The following is a 24186-nucleotide window of genomic DNA, read 5'->3' as shown; positions in this document are numbered from 1 at the left end:
GGAGTGCAATGGTGCGATCTCAGCTCACTGCAACCTCCACCTCCCGGGTTCAAGCAATTCTCCTGCCTCAGCCTCCTGAGTAGCTGGGATTACAAGCATGCACCACCACAACCGGCTAATTTTGTATTTTTAGTAGAGATGGGGTTTCTCCATTTTGGTCAGGCTGGTCTCAAACTCCCAACCTCAGGTGATCCGCCTGCCTCAGCCTCCCATATTGCTGGGATTACAGGCGTGAGCCACCGCGCCCAGCATCTATTTCAGTTTTTATTGTGTATTACTCAGAGTTTTCCACAATAATTTACTGCAAACTTAGATTGGCATTTACTGTAAATTCACAGATTTGAATTTGCATCAGGTAAACTTTTTTAAAAAGACTTTTTTGCACAGGATTGTGATTTTCTAACACATTTCTTAAGGAAAATATGGACACCACATGGGACTCTGCTATTTTAGCTCCTAAGCACTCAGAACAGAGGCGGTGGGGGGATTCAGAGAAATGGCATAGAGTTCTAGAAACAGCTGTGTCATGTCTGTGTCATGCTGCCATAACGCCATAACACCCCCCAACACGCACACACACACATACACACACACATACACACACACTCACACACACACACACACTGCTTCCAACTTTTATATTCTTTCCTATTCTCTAGGAAATGTTGGGCACACATAGTTTGACTCTGCTCAAGTGTCACCTTCTCAAAGAGGACTCCCATGACCATTTATCTAAAACAAAGACTTCTTTCACTCCCCATCCCCTTCACCTACTTCATTTTTCTTCATAGGCCTTATTACTACATGAATGCATATACAATATTGATTAATGTTTCCTTCCATACAAGATAAAGTCCAAGAGAACGGGCTCTTCTGTTGTCCTCATCTCTTGTTACATCTCAACATTAGAGCAATGCCTCATGCTTAATAAGCATTCAATAAATATTTTTGAGTTAAAAAAGCTTCAAATTATAATCATTATAATAGTCTGAGCATTTATCTATTATTTTAAACATAGAATCTAAGACCTAAAGAAAGTTAAATGATTTTCCAAAGCTTCTGAAAGAAAATGGTGGAGCTATAATTGTATCCCTGATTACCTGCTTCAAAATCTGCTGCTCTTGCAACAATAGCAGGCTGTCACCTTTACCCCTCAAACCTATCCTCCATTAAAGTTCCTGTTTATTTATCTTCTTTCTATAGGCTTCATCCTATGAGCTATGAAGGGGTGCCTAACAGTGTTCGAGTCTAAAAAATGTGTATTACTTGGAAATTTTAACTGAAAACTATCTCTGAATAAAATGAAATTTAATATAATTAAATATCTACAAAATGTAACGTGTAAACTACTTAGTCAACTCATTATTCTGTTCCTCAACTCTATTCTTATTTTGTTACATAGAAATTAGGTTGAGCATGGGATATAAGCACATTAAAATACATTTGATATGATCTGGGAAAACCTCCAAAAGTAAAAATGCTTAAAACCACCCAAACTTCCTTGCCTGGTAATTGGAAGGGTCACAGCTATTGCTAGATTTTACATGAAAATAACTCTGAGTAAAGGTTTTGTTTGTTTGTTTTGTGTTTTGTGTGGGTGCGTGCATTTTGTTTTTTGTTTTTGTTTGTTTTTTTAGCTTTTAAGCATAATCTGATGCTTGGGCTTCTAATTCTTTGCATAAATCTTTTTATTAGAGGTGTTTTTTTTTTCTTTTTAACAAAATCCCTCTGTAGACTAATTAGGCAGAGTGGTGTATTAGTCCATTTTCACACTGCTATAAAGAAATACCTGAGACTAAGTAGTTTATAAAGAAAAGATGCTTAATTGACTCACAGTTCTGCATGGTTAGGGAGGCCTCAGAAAACTTAATATCATGGCAGAAGGCAAAGGGGAAGCAGGCACCTCTAACATGGCAGGAGGAGAGAGAGCAAGTGAAGGGGAAATGTCACACTATAAAACCATCACATCTTGAGGTCTGTCATGAGAACAGTAAGGGGAAAAGCAGCCGCCATGATCCAGTCATTTTCCACCAGGCCTTTCCTTCAACACTTGGAGATTACAATTCAAGATGAGATTTGGGTGGGGACTCAGAGCCAAACCATATTAAGTGGTTAGCATTGGCAAATGACAGCAGTAGTGCTTAGGAGCTCGTGTTCTGTGGTGCAGTGACTTCAGTTTAAATCTTGGCTACATCAGTTATTTAATTTTGACCTTGGGCAAGTATCTCAACTTCTCTAAACCACATTTTCTCTTTATAAAAAAGTGAAAGCTGGGGGGAGGGGGGAGGGATAGCATTGGGAGATATACCTAATGCTAGATGATGAGTTAGTGGGTGCAGCGCACCAGCATGGCACATGTATACATATGTAACTAACCTGCACAATGTGCACATGTACCCTAAAACATAAAGTATAATAAAAAAAAAAAAAGGAAAAAAAAAAAAGTGAAAGCTGAGTGCGGTGACTCACACCTGTAATCCCAGCACTTTGGGAAGCCAAGGTGGGCGGATCATGAAGTCAAGAAATTGAGACCATCCTGTCCAACATGGTGAAACCCCGTCTCGACTGAAAATACAAAAATTAGCTGGGAGTGGTGCTGCATGACTGTAGTCCCAGCTACTTGGGAGGCTGAGGCAGGAGAATAGCTTGAACTCGGGAGGCGGAGGTTACAGTGAGCCAAGATGGTGCCACTGCACTCCAGCCTGGTGACAGAGCAAGACTCCATCTCAAAAAAAAAAAAAAAAAAAAAAAAAAGCGGAGACTACAGTAGCCACTAACCTCATAATGTTATTGTGAGAATTATGTAAAATAATATGTGGTATTTAGCATTGTTACTGGCACCCAAAAGTGTTCAATGGTGTTAACTATTACTGTTATCAGTATTAGTTTTATTACTATTGGTTATCATTATTAGTATTATCATTCTTTAATGTAGCAGATCCTCTTCATCTCATGAGAGCAACTAACACACTTTCTATCCCATTTTCTACAAGAAAGTTCATGAATTTAGTACTAGCTGATGCCAACTCCCAATTCTAGGATGGAAGAATGGCCAATCCTCTTTTCTGTGAGAAAGTCCTGTGCTCTCAGAGCATCTACTTCAAGCATGTCTTTGGAACAGGATAATCACTTGTCTGACTGTTTAAAGAACAACCCCTGTAGCAGTCTCATTTCCATCAGGGCGGTGCTGGGGGAACAGGAAGAAAGAGAATCAAAAAAGAAGACTCTCTTCTCTCAAAGTCCCCAACACCATTTCTTTAATACTTTTTTAGTTTATGAGATTTGACAAGGAAATAAAGGCATTGCTTCAGGCCATTCCAATTTCACAATGTAAGTATTCTTTTAAAATTGCTACATCTAGGGGAGTCTTTATATCCATGTCATTACTCAAGGAAAATTGTGAGGATACAGGTAAGAGTGTAAGAGGAATCTTATTAAAACATCACATGCAAAAAAAAAAAAAACAAAACTTCTTCCTCTCCACTTGAAAGACATCTGTTTCTACTTACTTTCTATCAGTCATCAAAAATTTCATGAGACGTTGAATGATTAGTATCCTTCCAAATGCTTTGAAAAGGTATGGTACATAAAGGGAAAGAAAATAGAGCACCTTCCCAGTGGTAGTGTAATAGTCATAAGATACACATTGAAATTGAATGCATAATAAACCCACAAGGGTACATAGATGAAAGAATAGCAAATGAAGGCATGGATCTGATTTACAACGGTATGTGAAACCAAGAATAGGAATAGTCTCCTGGAACTAGATCTCACTAAAAGAAAACTTTACTGAAAGTTTTGTGCTAGTTGACAGAAATAATCATATAGATGTGTGTGCATGAGAGCATGTGTGTGTATGTATAACCCCTTTGAGATCCTTAAGCAAATGACACTTAAAAACACACAAAACATAAACATATTTAGAGATAAACAGAAAAATTACATTAGATGAAAATAGTATTAGGGTGGTGGGTGGGAAGGCAGAGGAAACAAGGCTTTTCAAAAAGGAATTGTTGTATTGTCTTCAGATGTCTTATTAACAGTGATGAAGTAATGTCTTCACAGTTCTGAAGGAAAATTGTTATGAGTTTGGATTTCATTCTCTTTCAAAATGTCAGTTAGAAGTGAGTCATGAAATAAGAAATGTTTATCTCTATTTATATATCCTAAAAATGTTACCTGAAAATGGACTCCAGTAAAATGGAAAGAAAAATGAAACTATAGGAACAAAATGCAAAGTAAAAGCAAACCAACAGCGGGAACAAATGCAGAAGAACTACAAACACAGTTCCAGGAGGAGCACTGTGCCATGCAGCACCCCTAGAAGGCAATGGGCCCAGTAAGAACCATAATATACTTATGAAGAACATAATGAATTCCATTCAACAGATAATTTGTTTAAAAAGTTGCAAGATGGCCGGGCGCGGTGGCTCACGCCTGTAATCCCAGCACTTTGGGAGGCCAAGGTGGGCGGATCATGAGGTTAGGAGATCGAGACCATCCCGGCTAATACGGCGAAACCCAGTCTCCACTAAAAATACAAAATATTAGCCAGGCGTGGTGGCAGGCGCCTGTAGTCCCAGCTACTCGGGAGGCTGAGACAGGAGAATGGCATGAACCCAGGAGGCAGAGCTTGTGGTGAGCTGAGATCGCGCCACTGTACTCCAGCCTGGGCAACGGCGCAAGACTCTGTCTCAAAAAAAAAAGTTCAAGATATTGGTGATAACTTGAGAAAGGTGCATGCTCCTTTTGCTAACAAAAAAAGACAATTAAAAATTCCAGAGAAAACAAAAACAAAAATTTGACCAATAAAGTAATTTTCCAAATAGGAAGGAAATGTTACACGAATTGAAAAACTGACCAACAGAGAAAATGACCTTCCATTTAACTTGGATGATTCAAGAAACACACTCCTTAAAGGAACAAACTCCCATAACTAGGACAGGCTTAGCAGCAGTGACATCTCCTTCTCTAGGTGTCCAATCACTTACTTGAATAAAATGAATATTATTTATTTAATCATAATGTTGCAAATGCTGTTTACTCGTTTTCCATGCTTAGAATCAATGACTACACAAAGTATATTACACTGAATTTCAGGTATGCAGAACAGAAAGTACACAACACTCATACATAGCTGGCAGCAGTCTGCAAGTGGGAGGAAGAGAAAAGGGAAAGGCACTGAAAGAGTACTAATCTCCACTATATGAATGTACTATTTTGTATATTCGAAGGTAAGAGATACTGCCTAGTGTTTACAATAGGTTATTATACAGGTATCTAAGTATATTTTAATATATTTAAATATTTTATGTATTTATATATAAACATATATTACATTTAATATATTTAAAATATATGTTATATATTTATATATAAATATTTAATATATTTAAAATATTTTAAATATATTAAAATGTAATTATAGGTATTTAAGTTATTTTAAATAGGTATTAAGTAGGATTAAAACTCTTAGAACTACTAGTTAATAGAAAGTTAATAATTAGAGAAACTGTTAAAATAACTTAGAATGTGAAGCACACCTGCCAAGAGACAGTTTGCTCTAAACTGATGGGTTTGCTGGGATTAAAGGAAAGTCCCAGGCAAGTCTGGACAAGTTTGTCATCCTAGAAGCATATGCAAGTTAATTTCCTCAGATTTAACAGCAGGGAGTCAATATAAAAATTATAAATCAAGAAATAGAGATATCAGCATATTGTTTAAATGTACAGTGACATTCATAGCAGTGGTTAGCATACTGCTCTTTGAAGTCATACATACCTGGGATTGTAGACCCAGCTCTACCAATTACTGGCTCCATGATGCTGAACAAGTTACTAACCTCTCATAATCATATCTATCTCAGTAGATCATTATGAAGATGACGTAAACAATGCATGCAAAGTGATAAAGCAGAACCTGACACAGAATAGAGCTTCGGGAACTCTGTGTAACTATTATAGTCATCATTGATATTCTTTATGGAAGCCATTCACTGCATGTGCAAAAAATACTATATGAAAAGCATATTGAATATTCAGTTAGTTGTTACACCCGTAAATACCTATGGAATTAATGTTAGGGCTTACATTGGCTGGCCAATGCACTAAAAAATATTTAAAGTTATTACATCTGGTGTTCAGGTGGGGAGAGAGGGTGAAAGGACAAGCAGTATATTCAATGATGAAGTTGCATGGTAATTCAATTTAACTCATAAACATTAACTTCACCAGAGAGAGACAAAGGGTGACAGAGAGAAAGAGGAGGGAGAGAGAAAGAGAGAGAGAGAGAGAGAGAGAGAGAGAGAGAGAGATTCAAGTAATACTGACAACTATGCAAGCCATTGCTCTCAATGGTTTCTTGCTTCTGGCAGTAGATGAAATTACACATGCTATAACCAACATTGCTTGTTGGAAATTTGTGAAAAACATATGTGCATGGTTTTAAATTTTCTCCTATGAACGAAACTTAAAATATTTCCATAACCAGATAAATAAGTAGTATGACTCTGTCAACATTTTTGAGAAGAAATTGAGAATTGAGGGTTATAGTTTTTCTGTCAATGTTTGTCATTGACAGAGAAGAAGTGAGGGTTTTGTATGCTCATTTTATAGTTGTTTAAAGAAATTCCAAGAATAATTCACCCAGAAGTAATTTTTGACTTGTATACTGGCTTTAGAATTTGAGCTTGTATAAGATATAACTTTAATTTACAACTATTTTTCACCATGTGCATTTTAGTAGATATAGGTTATAATCTTATAAGAATAATAAATAATAAAATGATGCTTACAATAGCTGAGATCATGTAATGTGAGAAACTATTTGTAATAAATGCTAAGCAAGAAGATAGGAAGATATAAATTTTTATGTACACAATGGCTACAGGTAAATTAAAAGAGTGAATAGAAAAAAAGACTTAAAAATATATATAACAAAAAAACTATTGGCCAAGGCTGTGTTAAGGTGATAGGATTATGGGTGGTTTTATTTTATTTACCTGAGTTTGTAAAATTTAAAAACATGATTTTAGAAACCGTAAAAAAGCAGACACAAATTAATAATGACAGAATATACACAGGTGCTTTAACCAAAATCTATCTATGGAAATGATTCAGATATCAGAATTGTGCAGTAGTCTCAAATTTTAGTGATTGGTCTTCTCTTCAGGAATTCCAGGCAACATTGTTTCACTACATCATACAGTTTACCTAAACTAGAAAATAAGAATAACTTATGTAAAACTATTTGTATTTGACTTTGAAATACTTCCAACAAGCATTTCAGCCAGACATGTCCCCAGACCAGTAGCATGAGCTATGTGCCTCCCCCAACCCCCACTTCCTCTATGCTAACCAAATGCCTTTGCTACTTTATTACACCACTGTGACCAAGTTCAGTTGGATCACACCGTTATTCCAAAGCCATGGCCATACCAATACCCCATAGTTGGATCTAAGCAAGAGAAGTTTGGCTTCTCAGGGAGACTTTGGCAGGCTGTAGAAACATATTTGAGTTTTCATCCAGGTTATATGCAGATTACCACAAAAAGATCCATTATTATGTGAATTAATATATAAAATACACCAAATCTTATCCCAGAAACAGAACAACTGCAGACACTGAAAAGCCTATTAAATATGATGAGCTCATAAATGTAGCACATCTTGCTCTTTTCTTCATCCCCAATTTTGTAAAATGGTTTGTTTCATCATGATTGTATTTTTGCATTCAATCAACATTAATAATAAGAACTAAAATACATTTGGTCCTTTATATTTGCTAGGCATTTAACTAAGAATTTGGCATTTAATCATTATCTTGCTGATAAAAAACTTGAGGCTTAGGAAGGTTAATTAACTTGCCCAAGAAACGGTTGAGAATTAGTGGATTCAGGACTTAAACTCTCATTTGCCCATAAAGCCTCAGCTTTTTAACAATTATGCTATAAGGCCTTCTATTAATTGAAGACCTACTAACTTCCAGGCTTTTCTAGGTGACAGAGGACACAAAGATGAATAAGAACCCTGACATTCAGGAGTTAAAAAACATATTTTTCTTCTTTCAGGAGTTTACAGGCAACAGGGGTCCATGATACCTCTTCCCACTCAATTCCCAAGGTTTCAGCAGAACAAGATAGACAGTTAAATATAGGAAGGGCTATTTAAGCCAAGTCTCATTATCCAACATAGGATTTGACTTGATTATTAAGCACTTTTAAATGGTAGGTTCAGGTTAAGCATCCCTAATCCAAAAATTCAAAATCCAAAATGCTCTAAAATCTGAAACTTTCTGAGCACTGCCATGATACTCAAAGGAAATGCTCACTGAAGCAATTCCAATTTTGGATTTTCAGATTAGGGATGCTCAACCTGTAAGTATAGGATGCAAAAATTTCAAAATATGAAAAAATCCCAAATCCGAAAAGCTTCTGTTCCCAAGCATTTCAGATAAGGGGTACTCCACCTGAACCATCAATTCCAGAATCTCCAAATGGCTGTTCATGTGTGACTCCAGTGGCTCAATGACATAGCCCAATTTCCTATGACATCTTCTCCAGTAAACAATGCCAGGGCCTGGCAGATGAAGGATGCAGTCGTGTGTATCAGGAAACCCAATTCTGAGATGTATCCACTTCCCCTCATGGGGCTTCGAGACTTGGCTCCCAGCTATGGAGTTACCTTGAGAGCAAGAACCATATTACACATCACTGAGGAAACTTGAACAGAAAGTCCTACCATACACACTCAATCACAGGCACGTTCAGAGACTGCCTGGATAAATTTGCTGCCTTAATGACCTACCCACCTTCTCTGCTCCTTCACTCCAAACAATAGCCAGAACAATACTTTTAAATGAGCATAATGCAAACTTGCAACTCCTCTGCTGAAAACCTTCAGAAGCTTTCCATTTGTCTATGGATTAAATCTGCAAGACTTTATTGCAAACGCAGCAAGGGCTTGAGTGATCAAGACTTGTTCAGTGAGTCAGCAAGTGATTACGAAGGGGCATCACCAAGCCCTACCCCCTCTGACTTTACTCCTTATTCACCACACTCCAGGGATAATATCCTTGTTTCCATTCTCTTTTGCAGGGCTTCTGTGCATGCTGTTCCTAAATTCATTTTGCCCACCCACCATCCTTAAATTAATTCATAGGCCATTCTTGGAGAAGTCTTTACTGTCCCAACAGATCAGGTTGAACATATTAATAAAATATTTTCTTGGAATGAAGAAATGTGGCTCATGTATCTACAAAAAGTAAAATTTGCAGCTTCTCAGGATACTCTGCATCTTCTTCACAACCTTTACCCCAATTGCCTGGAACTTAGCAGTCATTTGCTTGAGAATTTAATGTTTTTCACTCATGATCCATTTCAACTTGGTGAAGACAGATCACATATATTTTGTTTGTTATTGAATCCCCAGTGCCAGGCACATAGTGCTCAAAAATTATTTGCTAAACTAATAAAGATTCACTAAAAAAGAATAAAAAAAGATTCACTAAAAAAGAATAAAAAAGACAGTCATCTTGTGTCTTTTTACCAAGAGCCAGACATGATCCAGGATGAACGGGACCCTTTCTCTTGCATGCCTGTTACCTCTTGCAGCTTTCTAGGCTCCAATGGAATATTTTCTCCTAAAAGCACTGACTTTGAAATATCTGAAGTTTGATGGCACAGAGCTTTCCCCAAGAGTAGAAAGGCAGTCCTACCCCCTCTGTAATGGAGGACATTGCTTGTGAAAGGCTACACAGTTCTTTAGAACCCCTCATGCATTCATTTCATTCACTCAACAGAGAAGCTGAGAGCTCCCTTTGTGCCTGGCACTAGTGGAATTCTGAGCATTCACAAAGAAAAGGCGGTTCCTGTCTTGAAAGAGCTTCTTGTGAGGAAGGAGAGATGGAAAACTAAGTCAGTGATGGCCACACAGCGTGGCAATTCTGAGAGAGGACCTCAGAAGAGGGACACCTAAACTACCGAGAAACACTGAGGAAGAGGTAATCTGGAACCACTGCTAAGAAGATTTGGGGCCCCAGAGAAGAATGAACCAGCCACTAGATAAACATGTGCCAGGAGAACCCATGGTAAAAAGCAATGTAAACAATGGGAGCAGTTTGTGAATGAGCCAGGGGGTGAGGGAAGAAAATGCAAGTCAGAAAAATGCAAGTTTAAAGATGCGTGCCGGGTGGTGGACAGACCTGGTCAGGGCCCAGAGCAGGGAGGACACTTGGGATCCTGTTTTAAAGGTGATAGAAAGCTGCGAAGACTTTTAAACCTGGAAGTGTGACTGGAGGAGTCAGATTTGCATTTTAGAAACAGCACCTCAAAACAGTGTTAAATAGAGGGGAAGGGGAGCTATAAATAGACAAATATCCTAAGAGAACTTCAGGAAACATTTGCATATTTTGAGATAGGAGTTGGAATGAAAAAATAATGATTTGTATATATTGAAAAATGGATACACTCCCCCGTTTTTGAGAAAATGTTTACATATATCATTTCCCTGGAAGTAAATTAGGAAATGAGGATAATGGTTCTGTAAAACCTAAAGACTGTTGGTGACTCATTATCCAATTAATTGATATGAATAAATTGGGCAAATCAAGCTAAATGAGAGTCAGTCACTGCATGTAAGTAGAGAACGAGTGATTGTTTATTTTTGGTTTTATTTTTGTTTTCTTTTTTTTAAAAAATTATAAAATCGGGATATTGAGCCCCACTGAGGAGCAGTGGGTCAGGAATGTCCACTGAGTCTCTGACCCTCAGAAACAGGACATGGGATGATGTGGATTACGTGGACCTTGGAGTGGAAGTGATTCAGCTAGGTGTGGAAGTCTCTCTTGTCACCTTGGACCCCACCCACAGCTACCATGTCACGGCAACCAACCCTGCTGGCAGCAAGTGACACCATTCAACCCACCCTGGAGTGCATTTTTTCAGATTAGAAAAGAGGAATAAAACCATTATCAGAAATGGAAACAATTAGGAGTTGCTTGTTTATAATTTTTGTTTTTAATCACTGTGAAGTTTGTATTTAAAAGAATATGATTCCCTTCTCAGCAATAATGGCACCTAAAATTCATCAGATTCCTCCAAACCTGATGAAGAGGGACCAGCCGTCTTTATGCTCCCGTGAGTTGGACTAATATGTGAGCATCTCTTAAGAGGCTGTGAAGGTAAAGTTCAGGAGAAGTATGAGCAAATTCTCACTACCAAATTGGCAGCCTTTTAAGAAATTCATGCCTGATCAGATTATTTCAGAAGATGGGACAAGGCCAAACAAACTATTCCTGAAACTTCTTTGCAAAACTGCAAGCTGAGTCTCAACTTGAGCAACAGCTGCTGCACACTTTTTGCAACTGATTTGATATCCAATTGCAGCTCCAATTTTGCATTCTGAGAACACTTAAAGATTCATTTTTATGAAACTTGAAAGATCTTGAAACTTTTAGCTTGACACAGTCATTTATTCTCATCCATTAAAAGCCTTGCCTTACTCAGGTAGATTACCCAAACAAAAATGCCTAGATGCCAGTAGCAATATATGCCTTCAGTGGTAAGCAGGAAAGTGTTTTTCTGAGTACAGTTTTGAAAGAAGTATGTATGAATGTGTGTAAATGTATGTGTGCTTTAAGTTACTCCATTAACTGTGTAAATTGTAATTGAATTGACCTTAGGGAATCTGGCCTTGAATTTGATGTTCAATTACAGTTAGAAAATTTACTTTGTTTACAAAAGAGTAGTATTTTGTGAACATGTAAATTGCAATAGTGGATTATTTTTATGACAGTATTAGTGTTAAATATAGGTCCTGGTTCCAGGAACATCCTGTGAATAATGAGTTAGAAAGGACCAAAAAATGTGATTATAATGACATAGATAATGTTTGTAGTCCTAGGTCTACAAATGTGTGGTGTGGAATAAAAACACACTAGAAATGGATCATTTAATGCTGTCATGTTATGTTAGAAAAATGCCTTGACTCAGCCTTAGAATACCCATGTGGAGCATTAATAAGATTAAACTCATCCACACATCAACATCTCCCTAGACAAACGTCCTAAGTAAGTTAATATTCAGACAGTTGTTCTTGATAAGGTGATGTTGACTATTAGCTACACACACACACACACACACACACAAACCCACCAGAAAAACCTATTGGTTAAAAAAAAAAACTAGCTGATTATATTAAAGCAGACTACTACCTTGACAGAATATTAATAGTATCTCAAAAGGAAGACATCAAGGGAAAGTGTTTATGGGATTTCGGGGCCTGAAATGAGTCATTTTAAGGCAAGGTGGAGTTCCTTCATCTGTTCTGGCTGCTATAACAAAATACCCTAAGTTGGTGGTATAAACCACAGAAATTCATTTCTCACAGTTCTGTAGGTTGGAAAATCTAAGATCAAAGTGCTGGTGTCTGGTGAGGGCCCATTTCCTGATTCATTGCAAACAAATTCTCACTGCCTTCACACACAATGGAGGAGAAAACGCAGCTCTCTGCAGCCTCTTTTAGAAGAACACTAATTCCATTAATGAGAGTGAAGCCCTTGTGGCCCAATCACCTCCCAAAGGACAATCTCCTAATACCATAAATTGGTGACTAGGTTTCAATACATGAATTTCAACATTCAGACCGTAGCATCTAAAATTAGTTGGGATGGAACAAAGGGTATGAAATAATAGTTTGGGGTAGATAGAAACAACACGATGAAAGTCTTGAAGAAAGTCTTGATGAGCAAGGTAAGTAAGCTCTTTAGTTGGTGCTATTATTTAAATATACGTCCCCTCCAAAACTCATGTTGATATTTTATTGATGTGGGGTCTTTAAGAGGTAATTAGGTTATGAGGGCTTTCATGAGATAATTAATGCTATTATCATAGGAATGAGTTAGTTATTGAGATGGGGTTTGTTAGAGAAGTAAGTCTGGCCTGATTTCTCTCTCTGTCTCATGTGTTTGCTTCCATCCTCCACTCCTCCACTATAACATGACCCTCACCAGACACCAGTGCCATCCTCTTGGATTTCCTAGCTTCCAGAACTGTGGGTCAAATAAACTTTTCAAAGTAATTATCTAGTCTGTAATGTTCTGTTATGGCAGCAGAAAACAGACTAATACAGGTGGGTTAACTTATTTCTTCCGAGAGCAGGTATTTCCTGGAACAAGCGGCTAAGTAGTTAATTTTGCCTGGTTTCAGTACTAGTTAGCATAGAGACAGTAGACAATATTTGGCCCCAGAACTGTTTGGTACAGGAAGAAGGTATGTTTGATCTCAGTTCTTAGTCTCTGATATTGGTCTTTTTACAGTCTAAATTGGGATCTGATCATTGCACGTTGTTGGGTCTGTAGCAAGTAGGTTTCCTGATGCTAGTAATTCCAGTTCCACAGCATCACTCCCACCATACACTATAGGTCAAAGTCACAAGCCAGCTTGTTTACAAGGGGTGGAGACATAAGCATCACCTTTCTATGAGAAGAATGTCAAATAATTTGTATCCACATCTTCAAACTACCATAATTCTCCTTTGGCCACAAATTGTTTACATTCCTCCCATGACTCTCCAAAAAGATTCATCAAATTATGAAATTAGTCTCGGGCTTGAGGTACAGGATCTTGTCATCAAAATCAGGTCCAGATGTGGCAGAGGCTCCATAGCTTCAATTCCTTGAGTACAATTCTTTTTGATCTAAAAACCTATAAACAAGAAAGACAAATTATTAGCTCTACACACGCCAAATGTACATTAGCTGAACAAGCATCGTAATTCCTATTCAAAAACAGGGACAGGTAGAAGGTACACAATAATTGATCCACACAATTTAGAGACAAGCAGGGCACATGAGGCCAGTTCCTTGACTAAGGACAAGTAATAACTCCCTGGGAATCACTCTGTCATCTCTTGGCTCTGCCCTCTGGTCTGCTTTCCTTCCCACAGAAATAGCTTATGTTTGCAGTTAAGTAATTTTCTCAACCTGCTTCTTACTTATAGACATTCAAGAGCCCAAAGGCTACTTTTTAATTTGTAATGTCCCTATCCTTTTCTCTCCAAGCTGTTATAATTCTTTTAAAGACTTTTTGGGCTTCTTACAAGTTGATTTATATTCCACACTATTAAACAAAACCACACCCACAAATCTTTTCAGAATAGGTTCTCTCCCTGGGTCTTCTTCAGAGTGGTTGTAGAACAATGACCTTGGAATTCTCCTATTACTTATTGGAGAGAATGTGTGAAGCATACATATACTATCATTAGAAGACATTTGGTCTTCTTGAAAGAGTCTTTGAGGTGCTGATTTAAGTGTTTCTAAGATTTTAATAAGGGATTTTACTAGCCATATTTTCAGCTTTATTTTTTCTAGGTAACACCCTGAATTTGATCTTTGCCATAGGATATTTCTTACTTTGAGAACCTTCTGCTGGCTAGAAAGAATATCTGGAGCCTCTACTTTTCCTTTAAATCCAACTTTAAGACTGAATAGTTTATTTTCTGTCTTCCTACATTTTATTATAAGCAGCTAGAAAAATCCACAGTTTCTTGAGCACTCTGCGTGGAAATCTCCTTACTATACCATTGAGTTTATTGGCTGTGTTTCCTCTTTTCCATGTTACTGCAATGACAGTTTCTGCCACAACCTTCAGGTCTTTGTGCCCTTGCTGGCAACCTCCTTGAGCCTTGCCAGGCTTCTGCCTGCCACCTAATCACAACATCAATGCCACGTATTTCAGGATTTATTAAAGCACCACACTTCTTCCAGGGCACAACAAAAGTTACTGGCATGAAATTACAACAATGTATGTGTATTTGTGTTCTGCCATCTTTATTGCCTTTAGCTGTTTGTCACTCCCTGGGGAGTCAAAAAAATACCTGGGTTCTTCCATTTTGGGGAAAAAATGCCAACTTTTAGCCCACCATCCATCACCTCATTTTTCTTTACTGATCCAGGTGGAAGTGTATGCTCAGCTCTGCACAGGATGGGGAGAGAAGAATATTGATCAGCCTACTTCATGTGCATTGCATTGTTCAATGTTCTTGAACACTATAGGCTCAGCTCCCCACTGGGACCCACTGACACTGGGGTAGGCAGAGGAACCAGAGTGCCAACTAGCTCTGCCTCATACTGCCCTGTTTGGCCTCGTTGCCTCCAGGTAGGTGTGGAAGTTTGGGCTCCATAGGGCTCCTGTGACACCAAAAGTGAGGTGACAGTGGAGTGCTGGTAGACTAGCCTCAACTCATACCACCTCGTATAGTCTCATGGATGCCAGGAGAACATGAAGGCTCAGCTACTGGCTGGGCTCCATGAATCCTGAGGGTGGATGGTGAAGTATAGTGGTGACTATCTCCTTGCACCTCCTCATTATGTCTCATTGTTGCTGGGTGGGTGTGAAGTCTCAGCTTACCATCCGACCCTGTTGGCTTGGGGGTAATATCAGAGCACAGTCTGCTTCCACCAGACAGATAGAAGGACTACCTGCAAGTAGGACTTCTACCTGGAAAGGGATAGATTAGGTCTCCACTTTGTCTGCTGACAGCAGAGGAATCTGCATATCACAACTTGAACTTACTTCCACAGGGTAGGAGGATGTCAAGGGACACCAGCTTTCTGTTCAGTTCCACTGAAACTGCAGGGAGGAATGCAATGTATTTATTGGTGTTTATTTGGCATATGGCAGGTATTGCCAAAATAGTTTTCTGTTGTTAGGCTACCTTTTTCTCAGTCCTTTAGCTATGGACAACAAACCTGTTGGTGGCTCTGGGATGGAGATCTTTGAAGCTCCCTTTAGGAAATATATGGGAGGCAACAATAAAAACCACATGATCAGCTGCCATGTCATTCCTCAAGTCAAGAGGTCCCTAGGCAATCTACTCTCGTTCTGCATTTTACAATCTGTTTGTTTTGTTACATCCATGTTTTTTTAGTTGTGAGGAGGATGGAGGGCTAACTCATCTTTGCCAAAAATGAGAGAGCCCAGGTATATTTTCAACTCCCCAGGAAGAGGCAAACAGCTAAAGAAAGTAAAGATGGCAGAACACAGATCTATAACTTCAAAAAAGAAAAAAAAAATGTATCTTCAAGTAACACATAAATGGGTTCACAACCACAAGGAAGAGAAGAGAGAATGATTATTTTGTTTATGGCCTTGAAGTCCTGGATGAATCTATGTCCTTTTCTTTAGCGTTCGTTAACTGGGAGGTAAGGAAAATTACAAGAATGGTACTAGGTATAAAGAGACTTTTCTCTAGTAGTCTTTTAACTACTGGTTTTAGCCTTTTGAGTTTCTGGCTTTAAACAGTATTGTGCAAACTTGTATCAAGATTTGTGTGGATCGATCTGAACCCTGATGCTTTGGGCACTGTCTTAGTCCTTTTGGGATGCCATAGCAAAAAACCCTAAAATATGTAGCTGATAAACTATAGAAAATCATTTCTCCAGTTCAGGAGACTGGGAAATCCAAAATCAAGGTGCTGACAAATTTAGTGTCTGGCGAGGGCCTGTTTCCTGGTGCATAGAAGGCACCATCTCACCGTGTTCTCCCGTGGGAGAAAGGTTAAGGCAGGTCTAAGAGCCTCTTTTATCAGAGCACAGTCATGTCCCAAAGGCCCACCTTCTGATGCCATCACCTTGGTGATTAGAATTCAACATATGAATCTGAGAGGGACACAAACATCCAGAACATAGCCGGCAGCAATAATTTTGCCAAAATAAGTGGAATTTTTTTTCACAAGTAGTCTTATATATGGAGAAGATTTTCATATTGGACTTATTTAAGAAGCAAAGAAACCAGTATGTCAATATCTCAATTAGTTATTATCTGATTATGACTAGGAGAATCCTCAGGATTTCAAGAGGTCAACAGTGGAACACTTAATCTAAACATTTCGTTTGCCCACTAGATCCTTCCCTGTTAAGTTCACAGATGTGGTATCACAGAGAAGGGGAAAAAATGTTATTTGGTTAAAAGTCGAAGGGTGGTGGTTATAGACTAAGATGAAGAAATACCTAGAGATTACTAGTTTCTTGATTCTAAGAGAAAGGTTGTGTACTGGTGGCAGGGTTTGTGGTATCGATAAACAATCTGGCAGGTTGTCCTTTAACATTTGCAGAAATTTCTACTTGTAAATTTGAGGGTAAAAATGGGAAAATAAATGCTGAATTTCCCTTTGGAGCATTTTCAGTGTCTACCCACTTCAATATTTTCCTTCAGTTTCTAACTACCACAGTGCAATTGTTTTATCATTTTTTTTCTGCTTACGTTGTTTACAGGTGTCTTTATTAATAACTCTCTACCCATGTTCTTGTGATAGAGTAGGGAACGTGCAGTTTCTTTATGTGTGAGACCACCAATTCATACTACACCTTATTCCAATTGTGTTTTAAGGCTATTTCAAGATGTTGAGTGAATGACTAGAGACCAGGCAACAGAGCTACTTCCCATTCCTGTTTTTGCTTTCATATTAAATCCCCTGGTTCTGGCTTAAAGTTGTTCAAAGAAACTGAAGATAGAGTTAGGGTCACATCTGCTCCTGGATCTATTCCTGAACGCTGTATAAAGGTGTTAAAAAGCCTACTCCTGAAGTCACCAGTAGATTCATCCTTTCTTTGCCTGTAGAACAAGATTACAGTACAATCTATTTTTACAGAACAGACTTTGAGGATGGCATCTTACAGCTCTTGCTCTACATCTACAGCTTTTCTAACCCCTCTAATCTTCCCTACAATTCAAGGTCTATTAGGTCACTCAGAATCTCCCCATTCTGACTTTTCCATTCAATTTTTATTCCTCTTTTTTTGCCTATGAGATTCCTATTAATATATGAGCCAAATGATGTAAATCTGAGATCTCTAAATAATCTACTAATAGAACAACTCCAAATTCTGTTGTAAATTTCTGTCTCTATTTTGTGTGTATGCTTTAGAAAGTAGCTAACAATCGCTTTCAATTCAGACAAAGATCAGGGCTTAAAGTCAACCACAATAGAACTTGATCTGTTCTGAAGTGGGTTTAACTCTAAAAAACATTTGAGATTTGGGAGTTTCTTCTTGGCTAGAAGGGAAAGGAGATGAGTCAACGGAAGGGGTGGGAATAAGGGTAATGTAGGAGCCTAGGAAGGAGGAAGAGTGGAATAAAGGCAGTTATATTCAGATGGAAGTTCAGGAGGGTCTAAGAAAAATAGTTTTGAGGTTTTTATATTTCTCATTTGCCATGGCTAAGGAATCTTTTGAAAGCATCAATTTGAGAAACTAAATTTCTTTTGCTAGGTTCTTATGTCAATGAAAATTGCAGACCATTCTTTTTCTAAAATATCTCTCAAATGAATAGTTTTGTTCAAATTAAATGCTCGTCAAAATAGCCACTGTAATTCTAAATTATCCTTGGTAAAATTATTCCACTTAAATGTACAAACAAACAAACTATAGTGAAAATACATGATAGAAGCAAATTTCCCAACACTCTTCTGAGGTCCAGGGCCTCAAGGACCTTTACATAAAAGATAATTCTCCCCTGAGGTCCCATGAGCCTTTCACACTGGGATCTCCCCAGCTGCATTGGAGCATGGACTTGGACTGAGACAGCCTCATGAAAGCCATGGTATTCTGGATAATTTGCTTATGCCCACTGTTCCTTGTATTAAATTTCCAGAGAAACAGAACCTACAGAATATACGTAAATACATATAGGGAGATGTATTATGAGGAATTGGTTCATGCAATGATGGAGGCTGAGAAATCCCATAATCTCTGCTCTGCTAGCTAGAAGACTCAGAAAGCTGGTGGTGTAGTTCCAGCCCAAATCCAAATCCCTGAGAAACTGGAGAGCCAATAGTAAATCTGAGTTTGAGGCTCTGAGAGCCAGGGGCCAATAGAATACGTTATTAGAGTCTGAAGGCCCAAGAACCAGTAGTGCTGATGTACTGGATCAAGAGAAGATGGATGTCTCAGCTCAAAAACAGAGAGAATTTGTCCTTCTTCTGCCTTTTTGTTCTATTCAGGCCCTCAACTAATTGGATGAGACCCACCCACACTGATGAGAGTGATCTCCTTTACTCAGTCTACTGATGCAAATGTTAATCCCTTCCAGAAACACCCTCATATACAAACCCAGAAATATGTCTTATCAACTATCTGGGCATTTCTTAGCTCAATCAAACTAACACATAAAACTACCCATCACACCCTAACCTAATAGTTAGCCACCGCCAATTTCAAATGGAAGATTTGGAGTAGAAAACTTGCCTTGACCCAAATGCTCATGGATAAAATAAGACAAGACTGAGGAAAGGTCTCATAAGAGTTTAATAGGAAACCCAAGGTAAAGTTTGCCTTATAAGAAGCCTGACATAAGGAGAACTTTTGAACTACTCAAGAGATGAATTCCTCAAACCTACACCCATCTTCTTTTTTTGATCATCTTCTTACATACATTCAGCAGAAAGTGTTGAGGACAGACAAACCAAAAGACAAACAGCAGTGTTTTTAGTCACAAGACAGCTTTTCTCAAAGGAAAAAAGATTTCACTTCTGATCAGATAATCAAAGAATTCAGAAACAAAGATTTCTTATTCCCAGGAAATATTTGGGAGCTGAATTTTTTTTTTTAATCACAGCTCTGACCCACTAAGGAATCTATTATCCACTGCAATCAGAGACACTGTAGACAGGAAGCTCAAGGGGTCTTTGGGGAGCATGCTAATCCAATTCCAGGGTCTTGAGACACTATATTTTGGTAGAATCTAGAGGATTTTTCAAATGTTTCATCCCTAAAAACTTCACCAGAAAAACTGTCTATCAAGAAAAACTAAATTTATTAGATGTAACACAGTAAAGCAGAACTTTATCATGATAATACAGTCTTAGTAGTGTCTGAGCTGAGAAGAAGGATTTCAGGGGAGGGTATTTACAGAGTGTAGAGGGTGATTTTAAGGCAAGTCTCGCAAAAAGGCATACTGATTGGGATTCTGCAGATTTTGTGATAGAATAGACCGGGATTGGTGGGCACAATGAGGGGAGAGTCTTGAAAGAGTTCTTGATGAACAAGCTGTTAGTCTTGATAAGTAATCTCCTTAGTTGGTTCCAGTCTTATCTTCTAGGAGCAGGCATTTCCTGAAGCAAGAAGCTAAATTATTTTTGCCTGGCCCCAATATTGTTTAGCATGAAAATAGGAAAGTAAGCTTGGTCAAAGAATTGTTTTGCACAGGGGAGTATGTTTGGTATCAATACTCATTGTTGTAGAGAAAAGTTCTGGAATAATCTCATTTGAAGATTTTTTAAATAAATGTCTTTCACTTATGACCCAAACTGCAAGATATTTCTTTTTACATTGTTATTATACAGTGTTAACAAGCTGATCTGCAAAAAATAAAAACTGTTTAAGTAGTTAAAACAATAATAACATTAGCAAAAAAAAAAAAAGCAAGTGCTCTCAATCTTAAGAATATATGATCATGTCAACTTAGTATTAGCAGCTCAAAGAGTAGGAAGAGAAAGATATGCATTCAACTTGAAAAGGAAATAAGATCAGATTTTTAAAAGTCTGTATGACACAAATGTATTGTTTGATTTGGGAAGCATGTTCCAAAAAATCTGTATATGTGGGAGAGTGTGTATATATTTGGGTATATGCAGTATGTCTCATCACACAAGAGCAAATGCAATGTGTGAACACAAGCACTTCTCTACAGATGGAGAGTGGGTGTGAGTGTTCATTTTTCCCTCAAACACTTATGGAGGGCACAGGCTATAGGCCAGGCTCTGTGACAAGCATTAATAATACTGAGATGAATGAGGAATGCCTGGCCTCAAAGAGCTCACAGTAAAGGAGAAGGCTTGGACCCATGTAAATGGATAATCATAAGAAAACATGAAAAGTGTAGTGGGACTCCTGAGGAGAGAGTGACTAAGTCTAGATTCAGGGATCAGAGAATACTGACATTGGGGCCAAACACTGAATGATGAAGAGGAGTGAACTAAGCAGAAGAGAGGGAAGGAGCAGAGTTTTTCAGGCAGCTGTGAAGCCTCCATATAGCAGAAATGTGTGTGAGTATCAACAGGCCCTCCTCTAACATTTGCCATGCCTAGGACAAGGATGCATGGAGGCCCCTGTATCATGTCTAAATATGTAAAAATTATAAATCAAGCTAAAAAATATACCATCTCTTACTTTGCAAATGTATCTTTATAACAACATAATTGGAAGATATATATAAAGGTATAGCTTTATATTACTAAAATTGGGCAAAAAAACACAGATAATTAACTTTAATTACTATTGGACATTTCTGGGGATGGACCAGCAATGTTTGTATGAGTCATAAAATAAAGACAATTCATAAATTATTATATATTTATTTTATGGTATTTTCTTACTTTCAATTCAGCAAAATCACTGTGTTGTTATAAACAAGCTTTTACGTACTTGTTTTCCATTAATAGCAACTTACAGAATCAACAAATAAAATATAATTATATTCAAAATATTAAATATTAGATGTATTTCATCAACAGCACAAACTAAACAAATATAAAAATAAAAATTACTTAAACTTAACAAAGTTTAAAATATAAAAATATATTTTAAAATATTAAAAATTATCTATTAAAATTAAAAGATAAAATAAAATTGTAGTTGGTGAACAAATCACGTTGATATTCAACTATTTGATATTAAAAAATTCACTGATATTCATCAAATACATAATCAAATATTTAATATTGATATATTAAATATATTTAGTTAAAATATTTAGTATATCATTTATCAAATATATTTTACCAAATATTCAAATATTTAATAAAAATATTTAAAGTTGAAAATTGTATTTGATGTTTAAAAGTATTTTAATGAAATATATTTAATTAAAATTAAAAGCTATCATTAAAATGAGCATTTTCATTATTTAATTTCAAAAAATTTAAATTTTAATAATATTATTAAATGTTTTTCCAAAAATTGAACCTTATACAATTCTAGTTTTTGTGTCCACCTCTTTGCCAATGAAAAGAATTGGTATCATGCTTCATACATGTTACACCTAAACCTCTATATAACAAATATAAGAGTAAGTTGAATTGTTTAACCTTGAAAAATGCTCCTTGGCTGCTGTGTACAACTGTAGTGAGCTCAGCACTACATATGAGTGCTTCCAGAAGTACAAACTGGAAGGCAAAGAGAAGCAAAACAGATGCTCAGAACTCCTGGGAAGCAATACTTTCTTATGAAAGCATCAACTGCATTCATGCTATCTGACAAATTTAACATGTGGGGTCCAAAGCAGGGGTCCAGGGCAGGGGTCCCCTTTACCTAGCATTCAAATTACAAATGAAGGATAATGGTGACCAGATTGTCAAGGGCCTCATGATCATTGCTAGAGAGTCATCTGACACTTTGTCCACTAAACAGGGAAGAGACAATTATATAACAGCTCTCTTTCACCATTTTCCTCTCTGCTGCAGTCACATCAGCTCCTCTCTGAAGCAGAAATCTAGATGTTAACCCTAAGAGATGACAAAAATCTACTTTGGAAGTACTCTGTCAAGACCTGAGTCCTCATGAAAGAGAGAAAGAAGTCAAATTACATGTTTATAATGTCTTTTGAGAGTCTTCTGTATCTCCAGAAAGAAAGCCTCATTTGGAAAAAAAATACGTATTTATAATCACACATATAAATTCTGTTATGTATCCACAATGTGCTGGAAAAATTTTCTGACAAGTGATTTTGTTTCCCTCAGTTCTCCATAACTTTAATAAAGTGATCTATCTAAACCCCAATTTATGTCGCGTAACTTCCCTGCTAAAATACTCTCCAGGAGCCTCTATCACTTGCAAAAGAAAGTTCAAGTTCCTTAGTATGGCATCTGTTTCTTCACCATATTTCAGCTGGACCACCAACCAAGGCCTCCTTGAAGATCTCTCAGCTTCTGCTTGTGCCCTGCTTAATCCATTCTCTCCGCAAACAGCCTGAATGAGAAATGAGATGATGTAGTGACCCCGGCTTCAAAGCCTGTCAATAACTCTCTAATGCACATAAGATAAATATAATCTCCTTACTACCACCTACAAGCGGCTGTAAAATTTGGCTCTGCCGATATCTCAGGCATCCTCTGCCACTTCTTGCTCACTGTGCTATACCCTCTTTGGCTTTCTTTCACCTTCCAGAACATATTAAACTCTTTTCTATGTTAGAGCTTTTACTTTTGCTGTGGCCTCTCACGTGGAGATCTGGTTTTCTCTGGATCTCCACATGACTAGCTCGTAGACAGTCCTTACCTGAGCACCTCACTTAAAACCCATTCCCAGTTTTTTTCTCTCTAGTACCTTGTTTTCTCATTTGCTTTCTTCGTAGTATTGTTCACAATCTATATCCTCTTGATTTCTAATTTAGTAGCTGACATACACTCATTTTTAGTGCAGAAAACTTTTCTGATTTGTTCAGTGTTTTATTTCCAGCTTTCAGCACAAAACTAACTCATAAGAGGTATTGACAACATTTGTCAACATCTACTCAAATTGTTGTTTCTCTTTCTTCACCTGACTAACTTCTCCTCATTCTTTGACCCCAGCTCAGATATTATCTCTCAGAGACTAAATGTAGTACACTTCCCTTCTGCTTCCGTAAAATCCTCTGCCTTTTCCACATTATTTGCCACTCTTTATGGGCATGTCACCTTCATTTGTCTGCACTTTTAGAATAAGGAACTATACCTTATTTATCTTTTCTCTCCATAAGTTGTTTACAGTGTCTAGTATGCAGCTGTTCAGTAAATGCAGTTAAATTGAATTGAAAGGTTAAATGGAATTGAAATCAAAAGGCTACTAGCAAGGAGGTTGTATAAATTCCAAGGCCAGTTTGCCTCGAATCAAAACCCAGCTCTATCACTTACTTATTAAATCACCTTGGGAAAGTCACTTGAACTTGTGCCTCAGTTTCTTTTTTTTTTTCTTTTTTTTTTTTTTTTGAGATGGATCTCGTTCTGTCGCCCAGGCTGGAGTGTAGTGGCGTGACCTCGACTCACTGCAAGCTCCGCCTCCTGCATTCACGCCATTCTCCTGCCTCAGCCTCCCGAGTAGCTGGGACTACAGGCTCCCGCCACCATGCCTGGCTAATTTGGTATTTGTATTTTTAGTACAGAAGAGGTTTCACCGTGTTAGCCAGGATGGTTTCCATCTCCTGACCTCGTGATC

The 24186-nt window shown here is 37.6% G+C and overlaps 2 long non-coding RNA genes across 4 annotated transcripts in view; one reads left to right on the top strand and one right to left on the bottom strand.

Moving 5' to 3' along the window:
* LOC101928219 (uncharacterized) overlaps positions 1–24186 on the bottom strand; it is a 182425-nt gene that overhangs the window by 17009 nt on the left and 141230 nt on the right. Inside the window, exons 1-4 of one of the 3 annotated variants that reach the window (XR_947615.3) lie at positions 16533–16606; positions 13471–13702; positions 8467–8681; positions 6962–7216 (exon numbers count right to left, since the gene is read on the bottom strand). This is a non-coding gene — a long non-coding RNA (uncharacterized LOC101928219). Of the gene's footprint in view, positions 1–6961; positions 7217–8466; positions 8682–13470; positions 13703–16532; positions 16607–24186 lie in introns of those variants that run through there. The other 2 variants (XR_246378.6, XR_001738162.2) reach the window with 2 other exon arrangements.
* Positions 16683–22773, top strand: LOC124904592 (uncharacterized). The gene is made up of 2 exons (XR_007067032.1): positions 16683–16791; positions 22458–22773. It is a non-coding gene; the product is annotated as an uncharacterized LOC124904592 (long non-coding RNA).

This window comes from Homo sapiens, chromosome 1 (genome assembly GCF_000001405.40).
Source record: "Homo sapiens chromosome 1, GRCh38.p14 Primary Assembly".
Taxonomy (NCBI): domain Eukaryota; kingdom Metazoa; phylum Chordata; class Mammalia; order Primates; family Hominidae; genus Homo; species Homo sapiens.
This window is presented reverse-complemented; position numbering and strand designations above follow the sequence as displayed.